Source organism: Homo sapiens, chromosome 9 (assembly GCF_000001405.40).
Source record: "Homo sapiens chromosome 9, GRCh38.p14 Primary Assembly".
In the NCBI taxonomy this organism is placed as follows: Eukaryota; Metazoa; Chordata; class Mammalia; order Primates; family Hominidae; genus Homo; species Homo sapiens.
Window position 1 is genome coordinate 110,424,667 of NC_000009.12, and position 21,788 is coordinate 110,446,454.

The window sequence follows — 21,788 nt, forward strand, 5'->3', positions numbered from 1 at the left end:
TGGCATTTTTGTTTTGTTTTGTTTTTAGACAGAGTTTCGCTCTTGTTGCCTAGGCTGGAGTGCAATGGCGCGATCTCAGCTCACTGCAACCTCCGCCTCTGAGGTTCAAGCAAGTCTCCCGCCTCAGCCTCCCGAGTAGCTGGGATTATAGGCATGCACCACCACACCCAGCTAATTTTGTCTTTCTAGTGGAGACAGGGTTTCACCATGTTGGTCAGGCTGGTCTTGAACTCCTGACCTCAAGTGATCCACCTGCCTTGGCCTCCCAAAGTGTTGGGATTACAGGCGTGAGCCACCACGTCCAGCCTAATTTTTGCATTTCTATTTATTTCAAATGTTTTGTTAAAAATTTGGCCAGAAGAAATGAACAAGAGAGAGGCTTTCCTTCCAGTCTGGCCACTTTCAGAGCACCCCTAAAAGGGCAAAATGCATATTAAAGGGGCATCATTTTTCTTCTCATCAAGAGTTTTAATTTCAGAAAAATAAAACTGTCTCCTAACAGTTATTTTTTTTTCCTTTCAGAAAAAGACTACACGTGGTAGTGATTTGGGACTATGTGTACTTCATATTAATTTGATTAGCTAGCTCAGATAGCTTCCCCATATATTATTGAAATGTCATCACTTTATATGCTAATAATGATACAGAAAACAATAAAGCCATATTTACATCATACTTCATATATATAACACACTTTTATAAAAATGGTCTCATACCCTTTAACAATTACATAATTTAGATGGGCAGATCTGATTCAATCTTTTCAATGACAGAAAAAGTTTCCACAGACTATGATCTTGCATAGAACAAATGGGCCTGTAAGAGAATGTGGCCCAACACCTTCATGTCTTAGCTATAAAGTGGGAATAATACTTCTTCTGCCAAACTCCATCTTTGTAGAAGGAAGTACATGAGATGATTCACATAGAATTCCTCTAAATAAAAAATCCTCTTCAAATGAATAGATTTTTTAATCGTTTTCATAATTGTCTTAATTGATTCTTTAAATCACTTTTAGATAAACGTTAGGCAGACATAAAACTCATCTTACTATATCTTCTAAGTGAACAATTTGTGAGGATGTGTATGATTTGTGAAGAGGAAAAGGTATAAATCTGTACATGTAGCATCATCTTTAATATTCAAATATACATGCAAAGACAAAATTCTAGGAAGAAATGAAGTAAAATATTACCAATATTTGTCTTTGGGTAATAAAATCATGGATGACTTTTAAATATAGATTTTGTGTTTTCTAGTTGTATATGGTGATCATGCATTACTTTTTAAATCAGAAAAAGCCCCAGCAATAGTCAATATCTAGATATTGTTTGGAACATGTATATTTGCTAAGATTTCACAAACATTTAAATGACTAATTTTAAATAGTCCTATCAGTTCATTAGGGGTAGTTTCTTATGTGAGTGAGTCCACAGGGGATAGATGGGACAATCAAAAGCCATTCCTGCATTGACATTTTAATATTAAAGATTCCTTGTTCACTTAAGAAGATGTTAAGATTTGGGCTTCAGTTATTTATGCAAGTCTTTAACTCTTATTATCTTTTCGCAAGAAAATATTGTTGCCACCTGCTGGCAGTCATGTATTAGTGGAATGGTTTTCTACTCCTGTGAAGTAAAATCCAACTTCCATGAAAATACAGAAACTGCACCAATCATCATAATAATGGCTAAGTTTGTTGGGTTCATTGATTTTTTTTTTCTGGTTAGGCCATGTATTATATCATTTTATTTCTCACAATATCCATAAGTATGAACTCATTTTATGCAGGAGGACCATCAAGGCAGAGCGGTCACACTATTTCCCTAAGGCCCCACAGTTAGTGAACAACAGAGTTGAGATACAAATCCAGAAAATGGCAACTTTTCTGCTGTGTCAGCTTGTGAAGAACAACTGTAGTAAATCTGGAGTGTGAAAGCCCTATTGATGAAAATATTTATTGAGGATGCATAGAGAAAAAACAATGATTGCAATGAAATGAAACTCAGATGACCTGAGATTTAGCCACCCCTCCATACTTTATTGGTTGCATTGAGACCCTAAACTGATCATCCCAAAGGGAGTCTTTCCCTTCACTGTCCCTCACAGGGCTTTTGCTAAGATCAAATGAGACAATGAGTCTGAAAGCCCTTCGTAATTTGTTACCTGGTTTCCAGAGGTGATCTCTGAATTAAATAAGATCCTTAGAAATGTAAAAACCTGAACTTTATTATCTTTTTTCCTCCCTGTAGATATGTCATCTTTATGTTATGACTTAAGTCTTGCCTTTGGTTTTGCAGAATATAAATACACGAACGCTCACTTAAAGGTACTTTTTGCATCTTAGTAGTACAATATAAGGCTGGGTGCAGTGGCTCATGTCTGTAATCTCAGGCTGAGGCAAGTGGATCACCTGAGGTCAGGAGTTCAAGACTAGCCTGGGCAACATGGTGAAACCCTGTCTCTACTAAAAATACAAAAAGTAGCCGGGTGTGGTGGCAGGCGCCTGTAGTCCCAGCTACTTGGGAGGCTGAGGCATGAGAATTGCTTGCACCTGGGAGGTGGAGATTGCAGTAAGCCAAGTTCATACCAATGCACTCCAGCCTGGGCAAGGTGATAGAGCAAGACTCTGTCTCAAAAAAAAAAAAAAAAAAAAAAAGTATAATATGAAGATATTTTTTCACTGCATTGCCCAATGTCCATTATTGAGGGTCTAATTTGATATACTACTCAAATTCCAGGAAAATATTATTTCCACAGGAGAATATACTCCGTCTCTGCAGGTAGGAAATAAAAGCATAAGGCTCTCTTTGTCTTTGGCTGCCAGGAAATTAAATTTCGTGTCCAATGGAGCCCATCTCTGCAGTCAGGAGCATCCACTTCCTTGGCTCTCAATGATCCTTTCCTTCACAGGCCCTACTCACCCTTCTTTGCAAGTGTAAGTGACGGTGTTCCTGAAAGTGAAGTTATTCCCCGTAATGACAGCATCTTTGATGGCAGGTGGTTCTCCACAGAAGACGAGGTGACAGGCAGGTGGCGCTCTGTCCCAGATGCCAGAAGCCGTGCATTCAATAATGGAAGGGCCCTGTAAGCTGCGGGAAAGAATGATGTTACTCTTTCATTGGCTATGGATTTGCTGCTATGGAGATAAAACAGGAAGAACTCTGGAGAAAATAAGGGACATTTGAGGAATTTGAGTACACAAAAATAGCATTTCTTCATATTAGATTGCTTTATATGAAAGCAAGAGAAATCTAAACAAGCTATACACCATTTGAAACAATGAATGGGTGAAAACAATATAACAACAGTAATCACTTGGTGCATAGTAAAATATTGAATCTGCTTATGGGCAGTGGTGTAAGGCACTCCAGACCTGTGAAGAGCAGATTACTTGGATGAGAAGGGGTTCATTAGACTGGTTAGAATCCAGCAGGAAGAAAGACACTCACCTAAGTAGCCAGGAAATCAGGGCAACTAAGGTCAAAGGGAACTGTCCAGGCCATGAGCCTGGGCATTTGAACCATGCTGCCCCTGACTCTGACCTCTGGTCTTCCTTTGACTTAAACCTCACATCCCTATGCCATGGCTTATCTGCCTTTCTTCTCAACTTGATTCTGATAGCATGCTTTAATTCACTCCACTTTCTCTTCACTCGATCTGTTCCACTTCAGATCCTGTTGATCATGTTTCTGATCACAGTCTGACTTTCTCCACTGTCCCCTCTGTTTAAACACACACACACACACACACACACACACACCATTAATCTCCTACAGTGTTAAGAACCTAGCCCCTTATCTTGACATGCTTTTTCATAACATTCCATGCAATGTTGAGTACGTTTGGTAAGCTGTTTATAAAGAAATCCATCACAAAAGCATTTATCGGGTATTCTGTTTATGCTTCATAAACTATTTTTGCTTTCATGTTTAAAGTCTGAATGCTTACAGCAATTGAACTAGGACTCTCAGAGTCATAGTTAGATAGAATATTTTCTTGGGCATTTACCATTAGCTAGGTAGGCCTCGGGAAGCATACAGATTTGAGAACATCCTCATATTTATAAATTTGTTTTTAGAGTCAGCCAGTCACGTACAAATGAAACCTATTGAGTAAAGAATACAGGCACGGTGGCTCACACCTGTAATTCCAGCACTTTGGGAGGTTGAGGCAGGTGGATTGCTTGAGCTCAAGAGTTCGAGACTAGTCTGGACAAAATGGCGAAACCCACATCTGTACAAAATACAAAAATTAGCTGGGCATAGTGACGCACACCTGTAGTCCCTGCACTCAGGAGGCTGAAGTGGGAGGATCGCTTGAGCCTGGGAGGCAGAGATTGCAGTGAGCTGAGATTGCGCCACTGCACTCTAGCCTGAGTGTCACAGTGAGACCATGTCTCAAAAAAATTAAAATAAAATAGGGAGCGAGTAACACAGTATTGTAGAAAGCTTGGTTGGTGTCTACAAATGTTACCTGTATCCTGTATCGCATGAATATGATGCAGTAGAAAGGTAGGTAAGCCCACTCAAAATATATTTTCCATTATTTATATTTTCCGGACTAGAACACTTCACTGGTTCACACACAGGAGGGGAATGACTCCAAGAACTGTTAGCAAGACAGGATGATTCTTTATCACCGGCCAGAGTATATCCTTTATTACACCTAAAGAAGATAGAGGAAAATTACAGGATATAATTTGCTTTATTTTGCATGCCGTTATCTGTGCCAAAAACCTCTAAAAATATTAAGAATTTATACATATTGGAAAAGTTGATTTTTTTTCCTACTGAAATAATGCTTTTAAATTAATTTTTTTTTTCAAGATTGAATACTGTATATCTTCCCCATAGGGAAGTAGGATAGATTTAAGAATTTGGCTTGCCTTCAGTTTGTGTCATGGATTAGTAACTACAAACAGGGAATCCTTGGCTTGAGAGTGGTGTGGTCTAGTCTGTTTCTGAGACATCAAGAGTATTCATTAGCTAGGAGCATCCACTCTCAGGGTGCCTCAAGGGGGCACTGGAGGTAATGATAGATTATTGGTCAGGGGATTTAAGGATTCTAGATATAACTACCATTAAATTATTGGATTAAGATTTGTTCACACTATGTATCATTCGATTAATTACATATTAATTCAAAAATGTCCTCTGCAATTATTTTCCCACCCCCTTTCTTTCAGTGTTATATCACTACCAGTATGCCATCAACATCTTCTACAATATAGTTTTAATCTTAGATACTTACCTATATGTCACTTTGCTGCCAAAAGTAAATGCTAACTCCTCAATGCAACCATTTTCTGGAATAGCCGGTTTACCACATGAAACAGCTTAACAAAGGAAAAACAAACACGTGACTTTTTTGAGACTGTGTGCAAAAATCTTTGAAATTTCAAGGGGCAGCTCAAGATCTTTTTTTGTTTGTTTGTTTTCTTTTTTTTTTTTTTTGGTGTGTGTGTGTGGGGTCATGTTTAAACATGAGCCTAATACCTCAGTTCAAATACAAAGAACATTGATACAACATAACACTTCATATGTCTACGCCTTACCTTTCTAGGATTGCCAAACATAAGAAACGTGGTAAATTTACTAAACATACCTTTACAATATGGTATTAGATGATTCCATTCTCCAGACTCCAAACATGTGATTTTGGTTACTCCCATCAACTGGTATCCTTCCTGACACGAAAATGTGACTTCGGCACCTACTGTATAAATCTCACCTGAGGAGTGGCCATTTTCCGGATTTCCTGGAGCCTTACATTTTATAGGTTCTAGAAACAGACAGTTTTGGTGGAATAATAAGTGGCTTTCACACAACCATGCAAAGTCTCACAGCAAAAGAATTCCACTATAGTTAAGAAACCTGTTAAAATCGCAAGAGAAAACCTCGTGAAGGGAAATGCATGAGGGCCCAGAGACACATTGGACATTAGACCAGAACATACATTTAATAAGCATTTAAGCAATAATAGTTTGAAACAGCAATTCCTAACAACAATATACATAATTTTTCTGGCTGCAAAGGTAGGCGCTCATTGGGAAAGTAGTGGTGGTGCTAGAGAGTGGCTTAGAAGGGCATTAGCCTCTTTCATCTGTTCCCTCTTCATACCCAGTTTTTCAGAGCAACTGACTTGGTGTCAGGCTGATGGAAAGGCTGAATAAAGCAGATTCAGGAAAGTTTCCAGCCTCCCTTCCCAAATAGAGTATGGGCTCTGGGCTCTCCCTATCTACAGATTCAGGGTCGGTCTCCACTGCTATAATAGGAAGGAGAAAAAGCTAAAGCAAGGTTTGGGCCAGTGTTGAGCAAGAAAAGTGAATATAATACTTGAATTCTCAAAACGGGAGGATATATTGCATCAATCTTTTCAAAGGCCATTTGAGCTATATAAGTCAAGGAGTTTAAACAAATTCTTAAAGTAAATGCAATTATGAGCTGATTTTGAGGAAAACAGCCAGAGGTAAGCATAAAGATGTATGTCCAAAGATGCTTATTAAACTGTTTTCCATAGTGAATATCACCTAATATTAACATACAGAGAAAAGTTACTTATGGAAAATCCATAAAGTGAATTATAAAACAGGAATTAAAATCCTGCTCTCAAACTATTTTGTGACACCAAAAATGTGCCTGATATAATATTACATGAAATAACTAAAATAAAGAACTGTTTATATGGTGTGTTCATATAGACATCTTATTGTTTTCCAGGAGTTACTCTTCACAACAAATGAAGAAATACAACAACGGGTTGAGAGATGATCTGGTATTATCAAAGCTATTTCAAAATATTGTAGTGCAAGATGTCTTGGGGAGGCAAGATGTCTATTTTTTTTCAATGATATAATTTTATGTGACTGAGGCAGAGGAAAGATATTGATAGTGAAGATGTGATAAAGCATCTTCCTTGCTCTGATTGAGGCAGGGATGTCACTGATTATATTTCTATATCCACTCTATTATTCTTGTACTATGTAGACGTTTCAACATTGTAGAATCATAGTTGGCTGTCAGTTTTGTTTCTGAGAAATTGGGAAGTTGGGGGAGGCACAATGCTACTTTAAAGCACTTTTAGTTGTTACTGATGTGTCTTTTGTAAGAACTTTATCTTATCTGCCTACCTGTATGCCCTTTGAAGTTGAAACAATTATCTCACTTAGAAATAACATACACTTAAAATATGTACTTGAATAAAAGAATGGAATTAGGAACTTTTAGTTCTACATATATTGGTTACCTGCACAGTTTTTCCCATCTCCTGTGTACGGTGGGACACATGAACATATGTAGGATCCATCTACGTTCAGGCAAGAAGCATGCTCACTACAATCTGATCCAACTGCACACTCATCGACATCTAAAATGAAGACAGCTTATAAATATTAAAGTTGATTCCTTTTCCGTATGTATCAAACATCTGTTTTTACTTTTAAATCATTACATATCACGTAATGCACAACACTTCATATATTTGTATAGAATTTAAATATAACAGTCATAATCACATTGCAGATATACAATAAAAGCTATTATTTCCCTAGTTTATAGGTGGGCAAGTATAAGACAGGGATATATAAATATAGTCTTAATATGGAGCCTGATAAAAATTTAAAACATTTCTGGCACCTCTACATACAGCTGCTTTGTCACTATGGCTTGGCCAGAGCTTACTGGGATGAGATAAAGTTAACAAAGCAATGCCTCAAGAACCTCAGGAATTTGGGATGACTGTCATCTACAGAGCTAGAATAATCTCATATAGTAGTTGCCAACATTTATCTCACCAAGGCAGGATGGTGAAACGCCGTTCCAGCTCCCATTATCTGTACAGAACATCCTTGAGTCACCCAATAGATAGTAGCCATTGTTGCACTGGTAGGTTACTGTGCTGCCAGCATAGAAGTCATCGGCTGAATGGAAGCCATTCTCCAAAGGAGGTGGCACCCCACAGCTAATGCCTGTAAGGTGACCAGGAAGAAGACAACGACATTAAGAGCAAAATACTCCAAGAACACTTTATTTGTATTAAACTAGCAGTTCAGTTAAGCATGACATTTTTACTGAATGCAAACATCAGACTGAGGGTGTCCTAGGGATAGCAGCAGCCTGAACCCTCAGCGTCTAGCACATTGCCTGGCTCACAGTAGGCATGCAATTCATTTATTCAAAAAACATTTACCCACTAGACGCTGATAAAGTTTGGATATTTGTCCCTGCCCAAATCTCATGTTGAAATGTGATCCCCAATGTTGGAATTGGGGTCTTGTGGGAGGTGTTTGGGTCATAGGGGCAGATCCCTCATGGCTTGGTGCTGTCCTTGCAATGGTGAGTGAGTTCTCGTGAGATCTGGTTAAGTGTGTGGCACCTCTCCCTCCACTGTCTCTCTTGCTCCTGCTTCTGTCATGTGATGTGCCTACTCTTGATGCCTTCTGCCATGAGTAAAATCTCCTTGAGGCCTCCCCAGAAGCTGAGCAGGTGCCAGCACCATGCTTCCTGTACAGCCGGCAGAACTGTGAGCCAATTAAATCTCCTTTCTTTATACATTACCTAGTCTCAGGTATTTCTTTATAGCAATGCAAAATGGCCTAACACATAGACACTGTTCTAGGTGCTGGAGTTACAGCAGTGAGCCAAACAAACAAAATCCCTGCCTTATGGAGCTTATTATCTAGTGGGGTAGATAGGCCAAAAAAAAAAAAAAAAAAAAAAACGGTGAATATATCAGGTGGTAACAGGTGCTTATCTAAAATAGCAGTCTAGCCTCCACCTAACCCTCATTTTGTATTACTTTTTTTTTTTTTTTTTTTTTAAGATAGGGTCTAGTTCTGTCACCTAAGCTGGAGTGCAGTGGTGCAATCTCAATTCACTGCAACCTCTGCCTGCCTCCTGGGCTCAGCGATCCTCCCATTTCAGCCTACTGAGTAGCTGGAATTACTGGCACACACCACTACGCCTGGCCAATTTTTGTATTTTTTGTGGAGATAGGGTTTCATCATGTGCCTAGGCTGGTCTTGAACTCTTGGGCTCAAGCGATCCGCCCGTCTTGGCCTCCCAAAGTGCTGGGATTACAAATGTGAGCCACCACACCTGGCCACACTTTGTATTTTCCTAGCCTCTTTTATTTTTCTTTACAGCTCTTGCTTCTAGCCCTTACCTTTATTATTTACTATAAATAAATATTATATTTACTTATTTTTCTGTCTCTCCTATTAGAATGTAAACTACATAAGAATAGGAGCTTTTTCCCCTGAACTGCTGCATCTCCAGGACCTAGATCAGTGCCTAGCACATAATAGGTACTTTAAAAGTTGCTGAATAAATGAATGAATGAATGCACTCGACTGAAGATGGCTCTCCCTGTTTCCCCCTCCAGCAATGACCCATCTATCTCTGGGCCTCTACCTGTAGGGTGTGTCTTTCCAACCCTTTCAGTTCCTTGCATCACCTTGGATGCATGCACAAATGGTCCCTCTGGATCCTAATCACCCATCTCCTTCATGATGCCCAGCACAGTTCATTAAACAAAGAAAAGGTTCAATGAATATTTGGTATATTTGCTACTGTGAAGTATTCACTCTTTGTCTAGCATTCCTGAAAAGAGTTATGTTTTCAATATTTTTCAAAAGTCACTGAAATGGCTTCAAGAAAGGCAGCTCACGTTCACAGTGAGGAAGTGGTTGTGTCCACTGTCCTTGATTCAGACAGTACTGCACAGGGTTCCCGACCAGCTGGAAGCCTGGATCACAGAACAGATTGACTTTGGAACCTGGCTTTAAATCTTCAGATGCAGTTCTCAGATGAGGCACTGACCCTCCTAAGCGTGGGCAATCTGAGGGCAAAGAACACAGGTGCAGAGCTTGTCAGCGGCATAGTGGTAGCATCACCAAGTCAATGATTTCAAACTGTATTCTGTATCAGCATTTGAGAGCCACCTTACTGATGTGAAAACAAGTTAACATGTAACCAGATCACTGGCAAGCAAAATCACTAAAAAAAAAAAAAAAAAAAAGCATTTAAGTCAATAACTCTCCCTCTTTCAAAATATTTTAGGAATGTCAATGAAATGTTCTTGTAAGTTATCAAAAGCCATAAATTCTAGGACAGTCTAAGAAACTCATTTAAATAAATTTGATTTTATGATACAGTTTTGATCATTCAGTTTTAGTGTGCAGATTGCAACATCCATCGCTTTTCTCCCTGTGCTACCTGTTCCTAGATACCTTCTACAAATTATAGAACCAAAAGAGTACCCCATCTCAAACAGGTGCATAGTATGTCGGTGGGCCTTGAAAAAAATAACCTCATTTCTTCTCTAATTTTCCTGATATTATTTTACTTTCATCCAAATTTCCTAATTATATTTTGTTATACAGAATATATTTTTGCATTAAAAAAACAAATCCTTTGGATGAAAATAGGGTAAATATGAATTACTAGTTACAAAAAGTAGATTGACAGTCACATACGATTGGACCGATAGAGAATTCTGAACTGTCTTCTTTTGCTAGACAGTCCCAGGGTGGTCAAGAGATAGTGGAGTCTATGAAAGAAGGAAATTCTCACCAGAACAAAATATGCTCTTAGAATCGATCTTCACTTTCCCCACAATTCCTGACAAGAAATCAGGCCATGCTAACACGTTTCCTTTACTGAGTTCCTCTGGGCAGGAGGTAGCCAGTGACTTCACCTGAAAGTTTAATAACACTTTAGATAAGCCTTACTTGTTCCATTAAGATGGAGTTATTACACATTAATTTAGTCCTATTGAAAACATTCACAGATTTTTTAGAGATGGGGGTGGAGGGAAGCAGGTATGATTTCAGGGGCAGCAGGAGATTCTCTTCTGTTTCCCTCTCTCCCAGCTCTATCATTCCCTCTCCCAGCTACTTCTCCCACTAGACTCGTTGTTGCCTGAAATTTTGGAATCCTACACCTAGAATTCCCTATGTAAAGCCATGTGGTTTGTTAAGGGGTTGTAGAGGCTCTCCCCTTCTTCATTCTATGTCTTTGACCTCTGACACAGAATTGAGGAAGCTGAGGCTTAGAGATTCTTAGAGGCTCAGCCTCTGTAGTAATAAGAGCAAACATTTATTAAGCCTTTACTATGGGCCAAATAATACCACAAATGTATATGTAGTATTTTGTTCAATCTTGTCAAAACTCTGCTATGTAGTTCTATTTATCTTTTATAGATAAGAAAACTGAAACTCAGTGAGATGGAATAACATGTTCAAAATCATCACAGTGAGTTTGGGGTAAGACTGGGATTTGAACCCCAGCTGTTTGACTCTAGGCTGGTTTTAGCCACTAGGTCGTATGTTGCTCTCTATGGATGATCTCGTGCCAGCCTTAAATTTCTGCATCTTCAGTCAGAGGGATTTGAAGCATTATTCTTTATGATTTTCTCCTGCTTCTTTGGTGATATTCTTAAATTTTATTGGAGAACATTATTTTGCAAAATCTAAAATAATGTTTTCCAATAAAATTTAAGAATATCACCAAGAAACTAAAAAGGGTGTTCACTGAAAATTACTGTAACTTCTGCCTAACTTCATCTATAACCACAGCATCAAATGATACTGGTGATAAATTCTGATAACCAAGAGCTTACAATAAGTTATGTCATCATTAGGCTGTTCACATTTTTACTAGGTTTGTACCTTTGCATCTCATTACTGTCATACACTGAAAATGGAATTGACCTGCTGTGGAGACAGGACATAGTCCCAGAGGTTGAGCTGGCTTATGGAGCCCACAAAAGACTCAGCTGGGCTGAATCCCTCTCCTTTTTTGTCTTGCTCTTGCCCCAGAACTAACGCACCACCACCTAAGGAGAGAGAAAGAGAAAGAAAAGGAGGAAAACTGGCCTGATGGTCTGTTATTCCTAAAATCCAAATTTAATGAAAGCACGACTGATACAAATAAATGAAAGAAAATTACTGAAAAGCAAAATTCTGTAAATTTACTGCAGGTTTTATCAATAAGAACAAATTCAATGTTTTATATAGCAACTTAAAAATAGACAGGATTTAGAATGTTGATTTATAAACCTGTAACTACAAAAACTGTATTCAATACATATATATGCATATAATATTTTATGTTGACAAATTAGGTGTTATTTTGCTTACTTTCTTGTAGAAAATCACCCTCCATGGAAGTGACTGCTCTTTATCTTTCTTATTCCTTAAGCTACAATGATATAATTTCTATCACCAAATCCAGAGAACTTTCTAAAGTTGCCAGGAGTCTCGTAATTGCCAAATTCAATAAAAATTTCAGTATTCATCTCTGTAACTTCTCTGTATCAGCTGTTTCTGTTAAGCATTTCATCCTATTCAACTTGCCTTTCTGGGTGTGCTGGACAGTCTGTGTCTGCACTGCCAGAACTGCCCTCCACCCTTCTCCACTCAGCTTTGTGTCCCAAAGGTTGTCCCCGTGAGCTGCATCACCCAGCTTCCTTGCCCCGTCTTCTCTTTGTTTCTGGCCAATGAAGAGCCAGCATGAGATAAGAAAAAGGGATGAGAGAGAACTTGAAACTCCTGTATCCCTTCCTGCCAGGCAACCAACTAGGAGTGGCTTTTTCTATTTCTGAAGAGATCAGAGGATTCTCTCCAGCACTACAGGTTCCTAAATTCTGGCAACAATGCCTAACCCTTGTCATTTCAGGCCCATCCCTTACAACCATCTGTTGTTGCTAGTCATATGTGTTTTACTGTCATATTTTGGTCTTCTTAACCATGCTCACACCTTTGAAAACAGCCCTTCGTTAAACTCACTTTAGTGATGCTACCTGTTTCCTGCCAGGAGCCTGACTTGATTACACTACGCTTGATTTCTATCAGAGCATTCTCTCCTGGTTTTCTTTGAACCTTTCTGCTCATTCTCAGTCTCCCTTCTCTGCCTGCCTCTTAGAAGTGATCCCAAGATTCTACCCTGTGACTTTCTTCCTTTAACTACTCTTTTTTTTTTATTTCAATAGTTTTTGGGGAATGGGTGGTTTTGGGTTACATGGATAACTTCTTTAGTGGTGATTTCTGAGATTTTGATGCACCCATCACCTGAGCTGTGTAAACTGTACCCAATGTGTAGTCTTTTATCCCTCACCCACTTCTCACCCTTCCCTCAAGTCCCCAAAGTCAACTACTCTTTCAATTTGATCTCCCTTGTTGGTCAATCTATGTCCAAAGATCCCTCCTTCATGATTTCCCAATCTACGTGTTTTTAAATTGTATTAATAATTTTAAAGTTAATACATGCACAGAAGAAAATTTTTAAAATAAATTATAAAGAACTCCTCTTACCTAGAAATAATTATTTAATAGTTTTTTGTATTTCTTTCCAGTTTTTATTTTGTTTTAGTGTATGTGTATGTATGTGTGAGGTATTTTAAAACACATAACTCAGTATCATACTATACAGAATGTTTGAATATTGTTGAAGGTGTTGTGAGACCATCTTGAACGCGTTCTCATTTCATGAGTTTTAGTAGTTATGCTATTTTTTTTTTTTTTTTTTTTTTTTTTTGAGACAGAGTCTTACTCCTTCACCCAGGCTAGAGTGCAGTGGTGCGATCTCAGCTCAATGCAACCTCTACCTCCCAGATTCAGGTGATTCTCACGCCTCAGCCTCCCAAATAGATAGCTGGGATTACAGGTATGCACCACCATATCCGGCTAATTTTTGTATTTTTAGGAGAGATGGGGTTTCGCCCACCCTCACCACGCATGTTGATCAGGCTGGTCTCCAACTCCTGGTCTCAAGTGATCCAGCCACCTCAGCCTCCCAAAGTACTGGGATTACAGATGTGAGCTACCACGCCTGGTCTAGCTATGCTATTTTAACACATGAATGGACAACAAAGCATAATTTGCTTCATTAATTAAACGGCCCCTTATTACTGGATGTTGGCCTTGTTTCTAAGTTTAATACTAAAATGACACTGAGATAAACCTGTTTATTTATACATAATTATACGTATGTTTGAATTATTGATTATTTCCATTAGATTGATTTCTGGTAGTTAAACTGATGGTTGCAGGCAAAGAATTTCTCTAAGGCTTTTGATACGAGTTTCTAAATTGTTTCCCAGAAAGACTGTATCAACTTACATACTTGCCAGCGCTCTATACACAGGTTTGCTATGCTGAATCCTAGCCAGTTTTATGGTGTCACTAAAAACAACTTTGCCAATTTGATATAAAGCAGTATCACACCTATATCTTTAGCTGTATTTTCGTGACTAGAAATTCAACATAGACCTTAAACTCAGTATGTCGAAAACCATATACACAATCTTTTCCCCTCTCACCAACTCCGTTTTTTAGAATTCTTACTTTAGCTAACAGACTCTTCAATAAACTTGGTCACTCAAACTGAAGCCAGTCATTCACTGCTATGCACTGAACTGTGTCCCCGCCAAATTTATATGTTGAAGCCCTAACTCCCACCATGGTGATATTTAGAGATGGAGCCTTTGGGAGGTGATTGGATTTAGATGAGTTCATGAGGGTAGGGCCCACGTGATGGGACAAATGCCTGCATAAGAAGAGACACCAGAAAGCTTGCTCTCTCTCTCCCTGCCATGTGAGGATACAGTGAGAAGGTGGCTGTCTACAAGCCAGGAAGGGGGCTCTCACCAGGAACCAACCATACTGCTACCCTGATCTCAGACTTCTAGCCTGCAGGACTACAAGAACATTAATTTCGGGTATTTTTATTTTTTTTATTTTTGAGGCAGAGTGTCACTCTTGTTGCCCAGGCTGGAGTGCAGTGGCGCAATCTCACCTCACTGCGACCTCTGCCTCCTGGGTTCAAGCAATTCTCCTGCCTCAGCCTCCCGAGTAGCTGGGATTACAGGCACCTGCCACCACGCCCGGCTAATTTTTTTTTTTGTATTTTTAGTAGAGACGGGGTTTCACCATGTTGGCCAAGCTGGTCTTGAACTCCTGACCCCAGGTGATCCACTTGTCTCAGCGTCCCAAAGTGCTGGGACTACAGGTGTGAGCCACTGCGCCCGGCCAATGTTGGTTATTTAAGCCACTTTGTGTATGGTATTTCTTTATGGTAACCCAAGCAGACTAAGACAGCCACGAAGGGTGTCAATTGGAACTCTGCAATATTTATGGATTCTCAAACATCCTGGCCATCCTTATGCCTCTGGTCAGCAAGCTATTTCCTTAGGTGGTTACTGTAAGAGTTTCTTGGTTTTATTTTCCTGTTCCTTCAATCTACTTTTTACTCTTCCATCATTGTTTATATTTTAAAGATAAAAATGCTTTTTTTAACCAGAAAATAAATATACGTTCATTATGAAAATAACATAAAATGAAGTCAATAAAAATCACCTGTAATCGCACCACTTAGAGAAGAGATAGTTGAAAACAAGAACACACTAAATGAAATGAACACAAACCACTGCCCCACCTCACTTGATAATGCCATTTCCTTTTGAAATACCTTTAATGTCTGTTAATTCACTGAAGGAGAAAATGTGCATTTCTTGGGGAACATAAACAGGCTCATTACAGCCCAACACTATGTTATGTTTCAGCTTCTTTATCACGTCTTCCTTTTCTTCTCTTCTATATACACTATGCTACTACTTTGGGGATCAGCCAACCATTCTTCCTCACACAAACCCCATTCATGGCTCCCTGCCTCTGCACGCAGAGCTCCTTCTGTCTGAGCTGCCTTTCCCTGTTCTTCTGACTCATCCTTCAAGACACAGGCTGGTTAAATTCAGCAGATGTTTATGAAGCTACCAATAATGTGCTGTCGACAATACCAGGCACTGGACTTAGACAGATGAAAAAACATTTCTTCTTCTAAGAGATGATAATTCTAAGGGAAAATTCATGCATAAATACTTTCCGATACAGTGTGGTTAATGCAGCAATGGAGGCATGCAGAGTCAAAGAAGAACTGAAAGAAAAAGCTCAGTGAGAAAGGGCTGGGCTCAGGGAAATCTTTCAGACCTGGATCTTGAGGATTAAGAGTTAATCTCATGCAGAAGGAAGATATAGAGAGTTTCTAGGCAAAGGAGTGGGTAGAATGCCAGAAAGAATTGTCTAGCGTGATGTGTATGGTAGATACTGAGGGTGTCCATCCACATCCCCTGAGGTCCCCTCTTCCATTCTGAGTGCTACAGCTTCTAATGGTCCCACACCTGCTCCACCTGTGGGCATGTATCAATAAGCTAATCTAAGTGGTGAAGGCAGAAGGGGCCATGAAAAGGGCACAGCCATAAATTAAAAGAGTTAGGCCATAGGAATGCAATTTGAGAGACTCATTTTAACTCGTCCGGAATTCTCTGTTTCTTCATTTCTAAAATAGTAGCATAACTACTCTATTAAACTCACATGATCATTGTGACAAAAATATTGTGTAAATTTTGTAAAAATATTTGGGTAATTAGGCATAAATGGTATTACAAGGAAGTTTTGGTTTTGGCACTGGCTTCCTGTTCAAGCATATTTTACAAAGAAGCAAAGGATGATAGACCACGTTTTAAATTTATCAAGAGTGATTTCATCAAAATTATCTTATTAGATATTGCCCTAGTATTATGAAATAATTATATGATTTTCAAAAGCAGCCTCTATATTAATCTCCCAATACTCCCATCTTACAACAACCTAATGTTTCTAGTTTGTCTGTGTTTCTCTTTCCTTCCCCTCCAAATTAATCTCCCCAATCCATTTCTTTATAAATCACCCTTGCTCCCTAAATTCATTAAACATCCTGAGCCTCCTTCTCTGCCCTCTCCTCATAACAAAATTCATGTGTCCTTGACTCTACAGCTCTGTCCTTTGGGTCTTCCATTTCTGGAACCTCAACACTCAGATGTTGCCTTACTGGCTGGATTGGCGCTTGGCAAATGCTCAGTGTGTGGATACACATCCAGGGATCTGTCTGTATGTTTCATTCCTCTCTTCAGTGATTCTGGGGTTTAAGGAAGAGTGGCTTTCTCTTTTATTTTTCATTTGTCCCAAGTTTCCCTCCCAGGAGAAGCATAATAAATGCTTCTTAGAGTTCAGATATTAACTCTCAGTGCTGTCCCTGCACTGGGGAGTCCTTTTGTCCTCTGGTTGGAAACCTCTTTGTTGTTTAGGAATTTTCACATACACCCTATTACTTCTTTCTGCTCGTGACAGAACCACCTAAGCTACCCTTCCTGCCATCTCCCCCATCCATCTTAAAATGCTTCAGTAACTCCCTATTGATTTTAGGGTGAAAACCTCAATCCTTAACCTACACCACATGGCTTTACGTGATTTGGCCATGTCCGCCCTCTCTACCTGCATGCCTTGCCTTCCCTCTTTCAGCCTGCATTTCAGATACATCAATCTTTTTCTAGCGCTTTCAACAAGGCCCAGGCTCCTTCACTAAATTAGTGCCTGATCACCCTGGAGAGTTAGGGACATATCCACAAGCCTCGATGGACTCCCCATTCTACATCAGCTCCTTGGGTACAGGCTTTCATAGAATGATGTTCCTTTCCACCATAGTGCTTGCCTCAGTGTGAAATTACACAGCATTTAGTGTGATTATGTGATGAACACCTCACTCTCTGACCACAATAAAAGCATCTGGAGAGCAGGGACCACACGACTTTTGCCCACCATTGGGTTTCCAGTGCCTTGCATAGGTGCCTGGCTTTCCTAGTGAGTGCTTAGGACGTATTCTTTACATTCACAAGTAGATCAATTTTGGTTTGATCCGCATGGATCTTCGTAGTATTAAAGTGAAACAATACATGGACAATAATTTCTTTCTTTTTTCTTTTTTTTTTTTTTTTTGAGACAGAGCCTCTCTCCATTGCCCAGGCTGGAGTGCAGTGGCATGATCTCGGCTCACGGCAATCTTCGCCTCCTGGGTTCAAGCGATTCTCCTGCCTCAGCCTCCTGAGTAGCTGGAATTACAGGCATCTACCACCATGCCTGGCTAATTTTTCTGTGCGTTTTTAGTAGAGATAGGGCTTCACCATATTGTCCAGGGCGGTCTCCAACTCCTGACCTCGTGATCCACCCTCCTCAGCCTTCCAAAGTGCTGGGATTACAGGCGTGAGCCACCGTACCTGGCCAATAATTTCTAATAAATAAAATAAGTATTGTATTTGAGGCTTCGCAAGGGTCATCTCACCGCATTTTTATGAAGTTTAGTATTTTTGTGCTATATTTATTAGTATACGTATCCTAGTTTCATACAACTTACTTCTAGAATGTATTAGTCAGTTTCTAATACTTTAATTCATTTTTGTCTATTTAATTTTCTTTTAGTATACCTGAAACAAATGAGCAAAGTAAAAAATAATGTCATATGCATATACTTCTATAGATGTATCCAGATAGAACAAGCTTATTGCCATGTACAATGCTGAGAACCTGGGTCACCTAATGAAATTTAGTTTGCAATTCTTCAAACTAAAACTCCTGGGATATTTATTAAAAAGTATTTTTTAGAAGACAAGCCAAGATCTATTTGAAAAGGGCCATAAAAGATGGATAGCAGTGGTCCTGCTTATATACTGATTACAAAACAAAACAATCCTTAAAATAAACAAAAAATACCAGTAATTAATCTCCTTAGAAGACAGTTTAGCAACCAGCTGCTAATTCAGCATGCTTCTTGGTAGTCTTAATGTAGATCTTCAAAGGCATTTCTCACACAGAGAGGCAAACAGCTTACTTAGGAAAAAAGCTTCTAATAACCCACAGTTAGGATAATCAGGGAGTAGGAAATAAGAGAGATAGCTGTTAATCTTTGTTTGAAACCAAGAACAACAATGCTAGCAAACCTGATGTCCATTTAAGCAGCATCACCTCTAGAGTCCAACAGAATTATACTCATTTTGTTAAAACATACCAGGTATGGGCAAACCAACAGAGAGGCCAGCACCACCGTCAGATAATTTCCCATCGATATAGACTTTCCAGATGCCATTGGCACTTGTCCAAGTGATTGCAATATGATGCCATCTGCCATCATTCACCGAGGGACAGTTTGTTATCTTTTCCCTGCCATTCACATAAAGAACCCAGCTGTAGAGAGAAAGATTCCAGGGAATGTAGTCATTAGCCATATGTTGCAATCCTTACTGTGGGGCATGCTACAATTTTTCTTCTTTTTCTTTTTTTGTGGGTAAAGTACTTTGTGTAAATCCATTACTCTTTTTTTTTCTCCATTTGGTCACATTTTGTAGAAGCAGATTTGATTTACTAATTATACTTTATTGTAGCTCACTGAAAATTGGTTTGTGTTTCTTAAACACTGAGGGGTAGGAAAAAGTCTTAGGATGAGCCAAGAGAAGTTGCTCCAATTTGAGAGAATTTACCAACTGGCTGTTTTGGAGAGAATGAGTCAAGAATGGAAAGGGTGAGAATTGTGTAAATGTCAAACTGACATCCTTCTTCCAGAATGTAAGTTTCTTAAGACCAAGAACAAATTTCAGATGTTTCATAGATACTTCATCAAACAAACAATTAGTCTGTTTGATGGTTGCTGCTATGGTTTGAATATTTGTATGCTCTCAGAATTTATATATTGAAATGTAATCACCAATGTGATTAGGAGGTGGAGTCTTTGGGAAGTGATTAGGTCATGAAGGCTCTGAAGAGACCACTTGCACCTTCGCCATGTGAAGACAGAGTAAGAAGGTGCCATCGTGGACAGGAAAGTAGGGCCTCCCCAGACACTAACTATGCTGGCACCTTGATCTTGAAGCCTCCAGAACTGTGAGAAATATATTTCTGTTCTTTACAAGCCACCAAGTCTATGCTATTTATTATAGCAGCCTGAATGGACTAAGACAGTTGCTCATGTAGTCATATGTCAGACAAAGTATGCTGATCCAAAGAAAAGAATAATTGAAACAACAAGGATGGCCAGCCAGAAGATATTTCCAATAACTGTGTCATTCAGGGAAATGACAAAGCTAATAAGCAGTTTAAAGTAAAAAGTCTTCAAAATCAAATGGAGAAAAAGAAACGATTAGAGAAAGTTGATAATGAAGATAAAAATTCATTGACCACTTCTCCCAGCATCTTATCAGATCCTGTTTACAGAGGTTTATGAAAAAATAATATTTTTGCAATATTAATGGTTTCCTTTCTGCATTTTTCCAGTTTCTCTCCTTATTCAAGGAGGCGACAGATTCTCTCTTTATATATATTTTGTCTCAAAGGAGGGTTTTTGCAAACTTCTTGGATTTTTGTTTTTGACAGATCAAGTACATTAAGAAGAATAGTATTTGAGGATGGGAGACTTCTACCAGAATAGTGAGATTCCCTTGGATTGGGGATAGAAAAAAAAGCTCAGTGGGTTTTGAACACCAACAACCTGCTCATAAGTAGGCCAACGATTTCAGTGGATCTGAGAGGAAAAGGCCATGTGGTGCACCACAGAATCTAACCACACGGAAGTTATGAACCTGAAGTTTTGCCAAGGATTTCACATGTTTAAAAAAGCAGTGGTTTTAAAGGGACCACAAACGCTGGGTCAGTGGACAGCTCAGTGATAAATAATGTGGACAGTTGGCCAACGATGGAAGTCCTGCTCAAGTCCGTGGCTCTTTGGCAAGACTCTGGGTACAACTAAGGTTGGCTCTCCTGACAACCCATGGCGATGGGGCCCTGGAGTTGGAATTAGTGGATTCTAAAAAAAATATGCACACTGAGTTTGTATACTGATTTGTATGCAATACACTTGTCTCCCAAGGTCAATGATGTCACTGAAATCCCTTAACTTTTAGAGATCCTATTATATAAAAGAAAGAGCATCAGTATTTGAGTCAGAGTTTGAGACTTAGCCCTGCTACTCCCAAGGTGTGAGATCTGGGGCAAGTCATTTAGACTTTCTGAAACTTTATTCTACTGTCTATAAAATGGGCACAGCTCCTCAGGTCATTGTGACTATCAGATGAAGTAATACATATGAAAAGACTTAGTAAACAGCAAAACACAATACATGTTTGAGGTATTATCACTAAAAATTTACGTTCTTAAAGAACTTGTTCAGATGCTCCATTTGATTATTGACACCCTGCTGTTTTCTGGGAACACCTGACCCTCTACTTTCCCATTTCCCATCCTCAATGTCAGTTCTAATTCGGTTCCAAGATAAGATCTTAAGCATAGCCTTCCCGACACTTCTGCTTACCCGTTATAATCAGTCAGGAGCAAGGTATTGTCGCTGCCGTTATCAACTGCATAGGAGATTGGTGTTCCATAGTTCATGTCGTCAGAGGATTTCATCCAGAAGGTACAGGTTAGAGCATGGAGAGATGGGAGCATGCCATCTAGCATGACATATCCATAGATGCCAGAAACTTCAAAATCCAGGTTAAAGCCTGTAGACTGTTCTGCAATGAATAAGAAAAGTGTGCAGACTGTGGCACTTGAAAGACATTTCCAATTGTCAGAGGAAGCAGTGCTATTGTCAAAGAAGCTCATTTCAGTGAATATGATTATCTAAGAAGCAGTTTCAAAATTAAATACATATTATTTACAAAATACATAGTGCATTCTTTTAAATAAAATAACCAGTGAGTATATAAGATAGGAAAAGCATTCAATAGTGAAAGGAAGCAGAGAAACAGGAAGTAGTTGGAAGGAGAGGTGAAACTGAAATGCTACTAAAGCCAGGAGATACTAAAGCATGTCTGTATGCTGATGAGAATGACTCAGTAGAGAGGAAGTAATTGATGTCACAGGAGAGAAGGAGGAGGTGCTGCAAGGGCAACATGCTGCCCTACTCAAGGCTCTGGCTTTTCCCTAT

The 21,788-nt window shown here is 39.2% G+C and overlaps 1 protein-coding gene across 1 annotated transcript in view; it reads right to left on the reverse strand.

The window, feature by feature from the left end:
• The window catches only part of SVEP1 (sushi, von Willebrand factor type A, EGF and pentraxin domain containing 1), a 214,494-nt gene that overhangs the window by 59,419 nt on the left and 133,287 nt on the right, over positions 1-21,788 (reverse strand). The window contains exons 26-36 of the mRNA NM_153366.4: positions 21,171-21,372; positions 18,879-19,054; positions 11,714-11,838; positions 10,575-10,698; positions 9,670-9,840; positions 7,796-7,969; positions 7,249-7,368; positions 5,608-5,784; positions 5,254-5,338; positions 4,477-4,668; positions 2,925-3,092 (exon numbers count right to left, since the gene is read on the reverse strand). Of these exons, the coding sequence (NP_699197.3) occupies positions 2,925-3,092; positions 4,477-4,668; positions 5,254-5,338; positions 5,608-5,784; positions 7,249-7,368; positions 7,796-7,969; positions 9,670-9,840; positions 10,575-10,698; positions 11,714-11,838; positions 18,879-19,054; positions 21,171-21,372 (1,714 nt within the window). The remainder of the gene's footprint in view (positions 1-2,924; positions 3,093-4,476; positions 4,669-5,253; positions 5,339-5,607; positions 5,785-7,248; positions 7,369-7,795; positions 7,970-9,669; positions 9,841-10,574; positions 10,699-11,713; positions 11,839-18,878; positions 19,055-21,170; positions 21,373-21,788) is intronic.